This window comes from Homo sapiens, chromosome 1 (assembly GCF_000001405.40).
Source record: "Homo sapiens chromosome 1, GRCh38.p14 Primary Assembly".
NCBI lineage: Eukaryota > Metazoa > Chordata > Mammalia > Primates > Hominidae > Homo > Homo sapiens.
Genome location: NC_000001.11, coordinates 200,572,469 through 200,584,904, shown reverse-complemented (window position 1 = coordinate 200,584,904; position 12,436 = coordinate 200,572,469). Strand labels below are relative to the sequence as shown.

The following is a 12,436-nucleotide window of genomic DNA, read 5'->3' as shown; positions in this document are numbered from 1 at the left end:
TACTTCTTCCTTCTCAGTTTGGATACCTTTTATCTCTTTTTCTTGCCCAGCTGGTTTTGTTAGGACTTCCAGTACTATGTTCAATAGAAGTGGTGAGAGTAGGCATCCTTGTCATGTGCCTGATCTTAAAGGAAAAGCTTTCAGCTATTTGCCATTGAAGATGTTAGGTATGGGCTTGTCATATATAGCCTTTATTATGTTGAGGTACATTCTTCTATATCTAATTTGTTGAGAGTCTTTATCATAAAAGGATGTTGTAGTTTGTCAAAGGTTTTTTGCACCTATTGAAATGATCATATGATTTTTATCCTTATTCTGTTAATGTGGTATATCACATTTATTGATTTGTATATGTTAAACCATCCTTGCATCCCAGTGATAAACCCCACTTGATCATGGTGTATGATCCTTTTAATGTGCTGTTGAATTTGGTTTGCTAGTATTTTGTTGAAGATTTTTGGATCTATGTTCATCAGGGATATTGGCCTGTAGTTTTCTTTTCTTGTAGTGTCTTTGTCTGGCTTTAGTATCAGGGTAATGCTGGCCTTGCAAAAGGAATTGGAAATGTTCCCTCCTCTTCAGCTTTTTGGAAGAGTTTGAAAAGGGTTAGCATTAATTCTTCTTTAATTGTTCGGTAGACTTCACCAGTGAAGCCATTAAGTCCTGTGAGACCTTTTTTTTTTTTTTTTGAAACAGAGTCTTATGTGTTGGCAGGCTGGAGTATGGTGGCACGATCTCAGCTTACTGCAACCTCCGCCTCCCGGGTTCAAGTGATTCTCCTGCCTCAGCTTCCCAAGTAGCTGGGAGTACAGTTTTTGTATTTTTAGTAGCGATGGGGTTTCACCATGTTGGCCAGGATGGTCTCTACCTCCTGACCTCGTGATCCACCCACCTCAGCCTCCCAAAGTGCTGGGTTTACAGTTGTGAGCCACCGGGGCCCGGCCCGACTATTTTTTTTTTTTTTAAAGTCTTTTTGTTGTTGTTGCCCAGGCTGGAATGCAGTGGTGTGATCTTGGCTCACTGCAGCCTCTGCCTCCCAGGCTCAAGCGATTCTCCTGCTTCAGCTTCCTGAGTAGCTGGGATTACAGGCATGCACCACCATGCCCAGCTAAGTTTTGTATTTTTAGTAGAGACAGGGTTTCACCATGTTGGCCAGGCTGGTATCAAACTTCTGACCTCAGGTGATCTGCCTGCCTCGGCTTCCCAAAGTGCTGGGATTACAGGTGTGAGCCACCATGCCTAGCCAAGTCCTGGGAGACTTTTGATTGCACTTTTTTTGGTACATTTCTATGTAAAACACAGCATATTTTTAATATAAACTTTTTTATTATGGAAAATTTTAAACAAACTATAAAAGTAGAGATTGCTGCAGTAAGCCTTTATATATTTATCCAACTTCAATGATTATCAACACATGTTCAATCTTGTTGCCGCTATCCTCAAGCTCACTGCTTCCCTGGACTAGTTTGAAGCAAATCCCAGACACCATATCATTTAAGGTGTACACACTTCACTGTGTATCTCTAAATTAGATAAGGACTCTCTTTTTGCTCTCCCTCTCTCTCTTTCTCTGTCACTCTTTTAAGCATTGCCATAACTATATTAATAATAATTTCTTACACATCACATATTTACTCCATATTCGTATTTCCTGGATTGTTTCATCCTTTTTTTAAAAAAAAAACTTGATTTGTTTGAATCAGGATACCAACATCATCTACACATTGCGTTTGGTAGATGTGCCTTTTAAGTCTCTTTTAATCTGTAAATTCACTCTTCTCTTTCATCTAGTAATTTGCTGAAGAAATCAGATGATTTGTCCTGTAGAGTTTTTTTGGATTCTGGATTTTGCTGATTGTGTCTGCCTGGTGTTACTTAACAGGCTCCTCTGTTCCAGTATTCCCTAGAAAGTGGTAGTTAGATCTTCAGGCCTATCAAATTCAGGTTCAGTTTTTTAGCAAGAATACTTGGTAGGTATGTTGTGTACTTTCTGTAACTTCTTTAAAATAACTTTTAAAATATTAATACTCTTTTTTTTTTTTTCTGAGACAGAGTCTTGCTCTGTCACCCAGGTTGGAGTGCATTGGAGTGCAGTAGCGCAATCTCAGCTCACTGCAACTTCTGTCTCCCGCTTTCAAGCAATTCTCCTGCCTCAGCCTCCCGAGTAGCTGGGACTACAGGCATCCGCTACCACGCCTGACTAATTTTTGTATTTTTAGTAGAAACAGTGTTTCACCATGATGGCCAGGCTAGTTTCAAACTCCTGACCTCAGGTGATCCACCGGCCTTGGTCTCCCAAAGTGCTGGGATTACAGCTGTGTGCCACTTCACCCAGCCAATACTCTTTGTATCTATTGCCAGGAGGCAATACTTTTATTCTTCTGAGGGCCTAGACAGTGCCTTACAATGATTACTTGATTTTTTAATTCATGTGAATGAGTTTATCCTTCCAAAAAGCTATTTTTAGTAGATTACTGGTTATAAGTTTGTCTGAACAATATAGAAAATATTTATGATAAATTTTTTTTTTTTGAGACAAAGTCTTGCTCTGTCACACAGGCTGGGGTGCAGAGTGCCATCATAGCTGACTGCAACCTCAAACTCCTGGGCTCAAGTGATCCTCTTGTCTCAGGCTCTCCAGTAGCTAGGACTACAGGTGCATGCTTCCTTGCTTGGCTAATTTATTTTATTTTCTAGAGATAGGGTGCCACTATATTGCCCAGGCAAGCCTTGAAATTCTGGCCTTCAAGTGATCCTCCTGCCTCAGCCTCCCAAAATATGGGGATTATAGACATGAGCTACTGTGCCCAGTCATAATCTTAAATTCAAATTAGGAGCTGGGTGTGGTGGCTCATGTCTGTAATCCCAGCATTTTGGAAGGCTGAGGCAGGTAGATTGCTTAAGCCCAGGAGTTCAAGACCAGCCTGAGCAACATGGCAAAACCTCCTCTCTACAAAATATAAGAAAGTTAGCTGGGTGTGGTGGCATGCACCTGTAGTTCCAGCTACTTGGAAGGCTGAGATGGGAGGATCACTTGAGCCTGGGGAGGTCAAGGCTGCAGTGAGCCATGCTTGAGCCACTGTACTATATAGCCTAGGCAACCTAGTGAGACCCTGACTCAAAAAAAAAAAAAAAAAAAAAAAGGAAAGTGAAATTGTGTACTAAATTATTTTCCTTTTTTATTTTAATGTCCTGACATATATATATACATTTTTTAAAATTTTTAGGCAAAATACAAAAGGACATGTTTCTACATAAGTAAGACTATAGAATACTCAATACTTGAAATAATTTAGAAATGAGGAAGAAAGAAAAAAGACATTAGAAAAAAAATTTTTTTCTAGATATTAGAAAGTAAAGCATTGTCTTTGGCTTATCTTTTTTATATCAACTTCCATTTTCTTACATCTTCCCACAGGCAAAAACCTCATTTTATAGGAAAAATGTTTTATTTCACCAAATTACTCAAATATCACTTATCCTTCTGCAATATAGAGTTAAAACCATTCATTTAAAATCAGTGATTTTTTTTTTAGGAATTGTTTTGCCTAATGGTATATGTTAGTGTCCATGTATGTATTTTGAATCTTTTCTGTGTGCTTTGTATTAGTGCAGACAACTTGGAGCTCTATGAAACTCTCAATGATGATTCAGGAAGCCAATGCTATCAGCAGCAAATTGAAAACATACTATGTTTTTGGCAGGTGAGTAATTAATTATCCTGATTTTAAATGTTTTAAACAAGTTGGCCTTTATATCATTTAGTTTCTCTTTTTTTTTTTTTTTTTTCTGAGACAGAGTCTTGCTCTGTTGCCCAGGCTGGAGTGCAGTGGCGCAATCTGGGCTCACTGCAACCTCCACCTCCCGGGTTCAAGCAATTCTCCTGCCTCAGCCTCCTGAGTAACTGGGATTACTGGGTGGTGTGCGCCACCACACCCAGCTAATTTCTGTATTTTTAGTTAGAGATGGGGTTTCACCACGTTGGCCAGGCTGGTTTCAAACTCTTGACCTAGTGATCCGCCTGACTTGGCCTCTCAAAGTGCTGGGATTACAGGTGTGAGCCACTGCGCCCGGCTATCATTTAGTTTCTCTAAAGTCCATTCTACAGCTATAGGAAAGAGCTGGTATCAGAATCCCCAGAATCCCCAGTGAGACTTTATCCTTTCAGAGGTCATTCTGGATTAAGAGAGATTTCAACAATTAACATACTAGTATATTTATAAATAAAATAATTTTAGTTGTTTTAGGAATTTGCTAATTTTCTTTTGAGTTGAAAATGTATCAGTATTTCATTGTTCAAAAGGAACATACCTTATTAGAAATTTTTGATTTTAAAAAATTTTTGTTATTTTTATATGTTTTATACTTATATGATTATTACTATAATAAAAATACTTAACTGTGGAAAGACTTAATCAGTGGATGGAATTTTTAGGGAAATTATTCTACCCCAGAAAACTCTTAGTATAAATGGATGTGTATGTTTCAGGATAAGCTTTTTTTTGTTTATTTTTCTTTCAGACATGATATATCAGATAAAAGTAGTTCTGACACTTCTATTCGGGTTCGTAACCTGAAACTAGGAATCTCAACATTCTGGAGTCTGGAAAAGTTTGAATCTAAACTTGCAGCAATGAAAGAACTTTATGAGGTTTGGAATATTATTAAAATCTCTATAAATTTTTTAAAATAAAAAAGTATAAAAGTTCAAGTACCTGCTTTTGGTGAAAAAAGTATATATATAAAAGTGACATATTCTCCATATAGAAAATTTGGAAAATAAAAGGCAATCTATCAATTACCTAAACCAACCAGTATTAACAATTATATATATTTATTTTTACATTTAAATGGAGTTTTATTGGATTGTTTTAATACAGTTATAGGTATAATAGAGAAATTTAAGGGTGGAATCTATTGTCATAATTGTATATTTTTAAAATTTTTACATTTAAGCTTAAGGAAAGAAGAAATTTGATAGACATAAATCATATTACATCATTTGAAATGATCTTCCTATGCCTAATGTACCTTTTTGCATATTTACATTTCTCCGTTGCTGTGCTTTGAGTGCTTCCAACTGCCTGCTGCCTGTTATAGTCACAACTGAAAAATCTCTGCACATATTAGTTTTTAATATCTTATTTTGTCATCTTTTATTTTCCAAAATGAAACTAAACATATGAGCTTTTTATTACACTTTGATGCTCACCGACAAATTGCTTGCCAGAAATATTGCCATTTTACCAATGTTACCAGTTTGCATTTTACAAATATATATATATATATTTTTTTGAAATGGAATTTCACTCTTGTTGCCCAGGCTGGAGTGCAGTGGTGCAATCTCAGCTCACTGCAACCTCCGCCTCCCGGGTTCAAGCGATTCTCTTGCCTCAGCCTCCTGAATAGCTGGGATTACAGGTGCCTGCCACCAGCCCCAGCTAATTTTTGTATTTTTTTAAAAAAGACGAGTTTTCACCACGTTGGCCAGGCTGGTCTCGAACTCCTGACCTCGGGTGATCCACCCGCCTTGGCTTCCCAAAGTGCTGGGATTACAGGCATGAGCCACCATGCCTGGGCTTATTATTACTCTTTTTTAATAGAGACAGAGTCTTGCTGTGTTGCCCAGGCTGGTCTTGAACTCCTGGCCTCAAGCAGTCCTCTCACCTTAGCCTCCCAAAGTGTTGGGATTACAGGCGTGAGCCATTGTGTGCAACCTGTACTGTAATAACTAGTAAATCTAGGGATTTCACTGTTGTTTCTTTATGGGTAAAGTATGTGTTCATTTCCTTTGAATTTTCTTTTTGTTTTTTTTGAGACGGAATCTCACTCTGTTGCCCAGGCTGGAGTGCAGTGGCACAATCTCGGCTCACTGCAACTCCACCTCCTGAGTTCACGCCATTCTCCTGCCTCAGCCGCCTGAGTAGCTGGGACTACAGGTGCCCACCACCATGCCCGGTTAATTTTTTGTGTTTTTAGTAGAGACGGGGTTTCACCATGTTAGCCAGGATGGTCTCGATCTCCAGACCTTGTGATCCACCCGCCTTGGCCTCCCAAAGTGCTGGGATTACAGGTGTGAGCCACCACGCCTGGCTGAATTTTTTGTTAAATGAAATGTAGGAAATTAATATAGCTATAAAAGTTATTTACATATTTTGATAAGCCTTTATATTTATCATATACCTTTTTTCCTGATTATATCATCTTTTTGTTGGTTTCATTTTGTTATACAGGCATTTTTAATTTGGCAAATTTGAATCCATCTATTATTCCAGAGATCTTACTTAAACATTGTACAACCCCTGCATTTTCTTTTAATTAAAAAAAAAAAAGTTCACATCTTTGAATCACATAGAATTTATTATGGTGTTTTGTGAGAGGTATGAATTTAAAGTTTAAAGTTCATATTATCTAATTATCCATAAATTATCCCTAAAATAGTTGCAACATGTATTGTTGCATTGCTACTATTTGTAAAATATACTACCTTTAAATAATTTGACTCCATATGGAACTATATACTACTTAGATCATTGTAGTAATGAAGGTATCATATGGAAAAACTTAGAGGATGCTGCCAAATTGTAGCCTAACACTTGAATTGTTTAATGGAAAAATGAAAATAAAAACAAAATAAAACAAAGGAAAGCAATGAAAGGAATCATTATGAGATAAAAGCAATAATGAATTAGAAATTAATAAATATAAGCTCTTGTTCTTTGAAAGGATAAATGTGATTTTAGAAATGAGAAGTGGCATTTAAGTAAACATAAAGAGAACATTTAAAAAGTATGTTACCTATAAAACTTTATGCTAATAAATTTAACAATTTCCTACAAATAAAAGACTTTTTAGAAAAAGATAAATTATGAAAGTTGACTTCATAGGTGAATAACCATGCAATAATTTGAAACGTTCATCAACAAACTGGCCTCGAAAAAAAAAAAACAACAAAGTGTAGGAAAAGAAGGTGCTAATCTCAGACATTCTTATGGGTAAGCTCTTTTAAACTGCCAAAGAACAGATAAATCTTATTCTGTTTAAACTATTCTAGAACATAGCAATACATAGAAAGTGTCACAGTTTATCTTATGCTAGAATAACTGATTAAAAACAAACAAACAAAAACCACAATAACTGAAAAGATAGCTCAGAAGAGAATTACCAACCAATCTTCTTTTTTTTTTTTCTTTTTTTCTTTTTTTGAGACGGAGTCTCACTCCGTTGCCAGGCTGGAGTGCAGTGGTGCGATTTCGGCTCACTGCAACCTCCGTCTCCCGGGTTCAAGCGATTCTCCTGCGTCAGCGGTCTCAATCTCCTGACCTTGTGATCCACTCGCCTCGGCCTCCCAAAGTGCTGGGATTACAGGCGTGAGCCACTGTGCCTGGCCTACCAACCAATCTTAATATCAACACAGCTATAAAAATCCTAAAGGAAATGTTAGCAGGGCTGGGCACGGTGGCTCACGCTTTTAATCTCAACACTTTGGGAGGCCAAGGCTGGAGGATCACTTGAGCCCAGGAGTTCAAGAACCGCCTGGGTAACATGATTTTTGTTTGTTTGCTTATTTGTTTGTTTGTTTTGAGACAGTCTTGCTCTGTTGCCCAGGCTGGAGTGCAGTGGCACAATCTTGGCTCACTGCAACCTTCACCTCCCAGGTTCAAGTGATTCTTGTTCCTTGGCTTTCTGAATATCTGGGATTACAGGCATGTGCCACCATGCCCAGCTAATTTTTTTTTTTTTTTTTTTGTATTTTTAGTAGAGTCGGGATTTTACCATGTTGGCCATGCTGATCTCAAACTCCTGACCTCAGGTGATCTGCCTGCCTCAGCCTCTCAAAATGCTGAGATTACAGACATGAGCCACCACACCCAGCCGACCCTGTCTCTTTTACCAAAAATCTGAAAATTAGACAGATGTGGTGTTGCGTGCCTGGAGTCCCAGCTGCTTGGAAGGCTGCGGTGAGAGGATTACCTGAGTCTGGAAGGTCAAGGTTGCCCTATAATCCCAGCACTTTGGGAGGCTGAGATGAGAGGATCACTTGAGCCCAGGAGTTCGATACCAGCCTTCTCTCTACAAAAGAAAAAAAGAGAATTCTTACACCATGAAGAAGTAGGGTTTATGTCATAAACGTGAAGTATATTCATAATAGAAAATCCAAAAAGGCTGAAAGCAATCATACCAAAGCATTGACAATGTTTATGTGAAAATGATGGGTTTATGAGTGGTTTTAACTTTTTTGTTTGTGTTTATATGTATTAATAATTTCCAAATTTTCTACAATTAATATGAATTGCTTGTATTTTTAGAACAACAAAAGTAGTATGGAGGTCATTTGATTATTCTTGCCTTGATATATACTTTAAAACCTAGTGGTTGAATTACCCTAGGTTTAACTTACCTCCTACTTTTTTTTTTTTTTTTTTTGAGACGGAGTCTCGCTCTGTCGCCCAGGCTGGAGTGCAGTGGCGCGATCTCGGCTCACTGCAAGCTCCGCCTCCCGGGTTCACGCCATTCTCTTGCCTCAGCCTCCCGAGTAGCTGGGACTACAGGCGCCCGCTACCACGCCCGGCTAATTTTTTGTATTTTTAGTAGAGACGGGGTTTCACCGTGTTAGCCAGGATGGTCTCGATCTCCTGACCTCGTGATCCGCCCGCCTCGGCCTCCCAAAGTGCTGGGATTACAGGCGTGAGCCACCGCGCCCGGCCTTACCTCCTACTTTTAACCATTCATTGCAGTTTTTAACTTATTTTTCTGTATAATTGTACTATCTCTGAATCAAGTTCTATGTAGCATTTTGCTAGAACTGTAATTGTTATTACGTTAAATATGTAAAATATAGACTGTAATCCTGATCAATATATTCGACCAGGAAGTGACTACATCTTAACTTTGTCAGATTATTCTTTTATGTCTCTCCTGAGGATTTTATTGTTTATGTTTTTACTATTATTATAAATCTCATTTATTATTCCTGAATTATTTAATGATTTCTATTGTTTTTATTAAAAGTAGATGTCTTTTAATATCATCCCTGTCATCGTGTGATTGACTTTTAATTTGATCAGGAATGATTTTTTAGACTTATCAGATAATATATAATCTGCTAATTTTATGGTTTAAATGTAACAAAGGATTTAATCTTTTTTTTCTTAGTTGCTAAACATTTTTTCACCCCAAATTTACTGAAACTATATATTATATTTTTCTTAGAGTAATGGTAGTAACAGGGGTGAAGATGCCTTTTGTGATCCTGAAGATGAATGGGAACCCGACATTACAGATGCACCAGTTTCTTCACTTTCTAGAAGGAGGTAAAGACAATTTTGTTACTAGTTTTCTTGCACTTTGTGTGTGCATGTGTGTGTGTGTGTGTGTGTGTAAATTGTATATCATATATATTATTTCCTATTTTAAAAGAACCGTTGTCATGATAGATGTCTGGACAGGAAACCCAGAACTGTAAGAGGAATAATATGTTATTGGTCAAATTACAGCACTTAGGGCATTAAATTGTTTATTAGTCAGTTAGAAGAGAAACCAGTTTTTCAGTGTTCCATCATATAAGTCTTAAGAGCAACTTAGAGTAGCATAAATTAAATTTTCCGTAAAAATGAACAGTATTTATTACTTTTAAATTATTTTCTCTGGCCAGGTGTGGTGGCTCATGCCTGTAATCCCAGCACTTTGGGAGGCCGAGGTGGGTGGATCACGAGGTCAGGAGATCGAGACCATCCTGGCTAACACGGTGAAACCCCGTCTCTACCAAAAATACAAAAAATTAGCCCGGTGTGGGAGCAGGCACTTGTACTCCCAGCTACTCGGGAGGCTTAGGCAGGAGAATGGCATGAACCTGGGAGGCGAAACTTGCAGTGAGCTGAGATCGCTCCACTGCACTCCAGCCGCTGCACTCCAGCCTGGGCGACAGAGCGAGATTCCGTCTCAAAAAAAAAAAAAAAAAAAAAAATTACCCTTTCTCAAGAACTTGACATATTCTATGATATTTTCTTGTAAGTTACAGAATTTTAAATGCAGTAAAGCTAGTATGAACTCCACAAAATAATAAATCATAGTGATAGACAACTTCTATATATGACAAATGTTGCTTGTTAACTCAAAACATAAAAGACCTCCATAGTGAATAATAGATGCTTTTCAAGGGAAACCTAGTTCTGCTTAGACCTCAGATGCTTAGATTATAGAGAGGCAAAATGGTATTATGGAAAGGCTTTGGAGCCAATTTAGCCTCATAGTTTGGTTTGGTTTTTAAGCAAGTATTTCTTTGATGACTACTGTCTGCTATGCCCTGAGGAAGCAAAGATGAATACAAAGTATGCTCTGTCCTGAAAGACCAGGAATTGAGGAAAGTAGAGGCAGGAGCAGTTGATAAAAACCTGAACTGAGGCTAGACAGAAGGATTTTAAATGCAGTGAAGAGGAAAGTCGAGTTTTATACATACTCAGGATGCAGAATCAATAGGATGCAGAGACTGGTTGTGGGACTGAAGGTGTGAAGGGTGCAAGGATGACTCCTGGTTTTAAATTGGGTGACTGACTAGGGGAAAGTCGTGTTGCCTGAGATGGAGCATTTAAGAGGAGTTTAATTTTGAACATGAAGAATTTGAGATTCTCAGGGGACATCCAGGTGTATATTTGGGTTTAGAACTTTGGTGGATGGAGCTGGGGATTTTCAGGATGTAAGGGTCAATAGTATTTATCTGTCAGCAGAAGCATCATTGTTATTAAGAGCATTTATTAAATGCTTACTAAGCCTTATCTTACCTAGTACACACCACAAACCTATGAAGTAGATATTGTCATTACCCTCATTTTACAGATGAAGAAACTGAGATTTAGAGAGGTTAAGTGACTTGTCCAAAGTCACAGAGCTGTTACGAGGAAGAGCCATTACTCAAATCCAAGTTTGGGTGACTCCAAAGCTCCTGATTTTCTTAACTGCTATGCCGTATCGCCTCTCCATTGTATATGAAAGGGTAGCATCCTTCTGTTTAAGCTAATTGTTTTTTGTTTTCTTAAACTTCATTGCCTTCAGCTGCAGATCAAAATCCATTTAGGTTTCTAAATCATTTTAGGCCTATAGCCTTGTTTTTGACTTGGCTTATTTTAAACTCATTTATGATTTTCCTCAAAGAGATGAAACTATTTTATAGCAACTTTCCCCCATTATTTCTGCTTTATTGGTCACATGGTAACCTCTAAGCTATGGTAAGAAATTGCTAATACATAGCAAGCATTATCCTGAATGAAATACAAAGCATATCTTTTACACAGAAATGAGCTCCTTGCCGGGCGCGGTGGCGGGCGCCTGTAGTCCCAGCTACTCGGGAGGCTGAGGCAGGAGAATGGCGTGAACCCGGGAGGCGGAGGAGCTTGCAGTGAGCCGAGATTGCGCCACTGCAATCCGGCCTGGGCTAAACAGCGGGACTCCGTCTCAAAAAAAAAAAAAAAAAAAAAAAAGAAATGAGCTCCTTGAGTGTAGGGAACGTGTCTGTATCCCCCTACAATATAGCATAGCAAAAAGGTCACAAAGTCTGATATCAGCATCCTGGGTTCTAATCCATGCTCAGTGTAGTCATGTACAAGTGACATTACATCCCTAGGCTTCAATTTTCTCATCTATAAAATGAAGACAGTAATATATACCTACTTTACAGGGATTTACTATTAAGATTAAGTGAGGTCCTATGTACAGAGCAGCTGCTGCTCCTGCTGCTTCTACTATGACCACCATGATTGACAACATCGGGCTGATGATGGTTATGTTGCAGAGTTGTTACGAGGATTAGAGATAGTGCATATAAAGCTCCTATTACGGTGGGTGGGCATTCAATAAATGGCAGCTCTGATTATTACTGGATGCTTAATATATATTGAATAAGATTAAATCTTAGAATACAGAGAAGCTATGATTTCTGTCCAGTACCAGTAACAGATGGTAATATCTTCAAGTGATTTGTCTTGAGGACTTGACAGAGTTGGCCTTTGGCACTGAAGTGAGCTAAATATGGTCCTTAGGTGAAATTGGGTAGATAGAGCTTGAGATATTTAAGCCAACCTAGAGTAACCCAAAAATTTAAACCAGACCAATAAATTCATCAGAGAATGATTTATGAATATCTTTGGATTTTAGGATTACTAGGTTTGTATTATTTTTATTATAAACAGATTTAAACTTTGTATATTTAGAATTGTAAATCACAATATGACCATTAATAATGAGCATTAAACGTTTAGCCTACCGGGGCTGGGTGCAGTGGCTCATGCTTGTAATCCCAGCACTTTGGGAGGCCAAGGTGGGCGGATCACAAGGTCAGGAGATTGAGACCATCCTGGCTAACACGGTGAAACCCCGTCTCTACTAAAAATACAAAAATTAGCTGGGCGTGGTGTTGGGCGCCTGTAATCCCAGCTACTCG

The 12,436-nt window shown here is 38.3% G+C and overlaps 1 protein-coding gene across 15 annotated transcripts in view; it reads left to right on the top strand.

Moving 5' to 3' along the window:
* Window positions 1-12,436, top strand: part of KIF14 (kinesin family member 14) — a 69,255-nt gene that overhangs the window by 35,847 nt on the left and 20,972 nt on the right. For all 15 annotated transcript variants that reach the window (XM_047436198.1, XM_047436190.1, XM_011510232.3 and 12 more), the window contains 3 exons: window positions 3,611-3,704; window positions 4,522-4,651; window positions 9,214-9,314. In XM_047436198.1, the coding sequence (XP_047292154.1) occupies window positions 3,611-3,704; window positions 4,522-4,651; window positions 9,214-9,314 (325 nt within the window). The remainder of the gene's footprint in view (window positions 1-3,610; window positions 3,705-4,521; window positions 4,652-9,213; window positions 9,315-12,436) is intronic.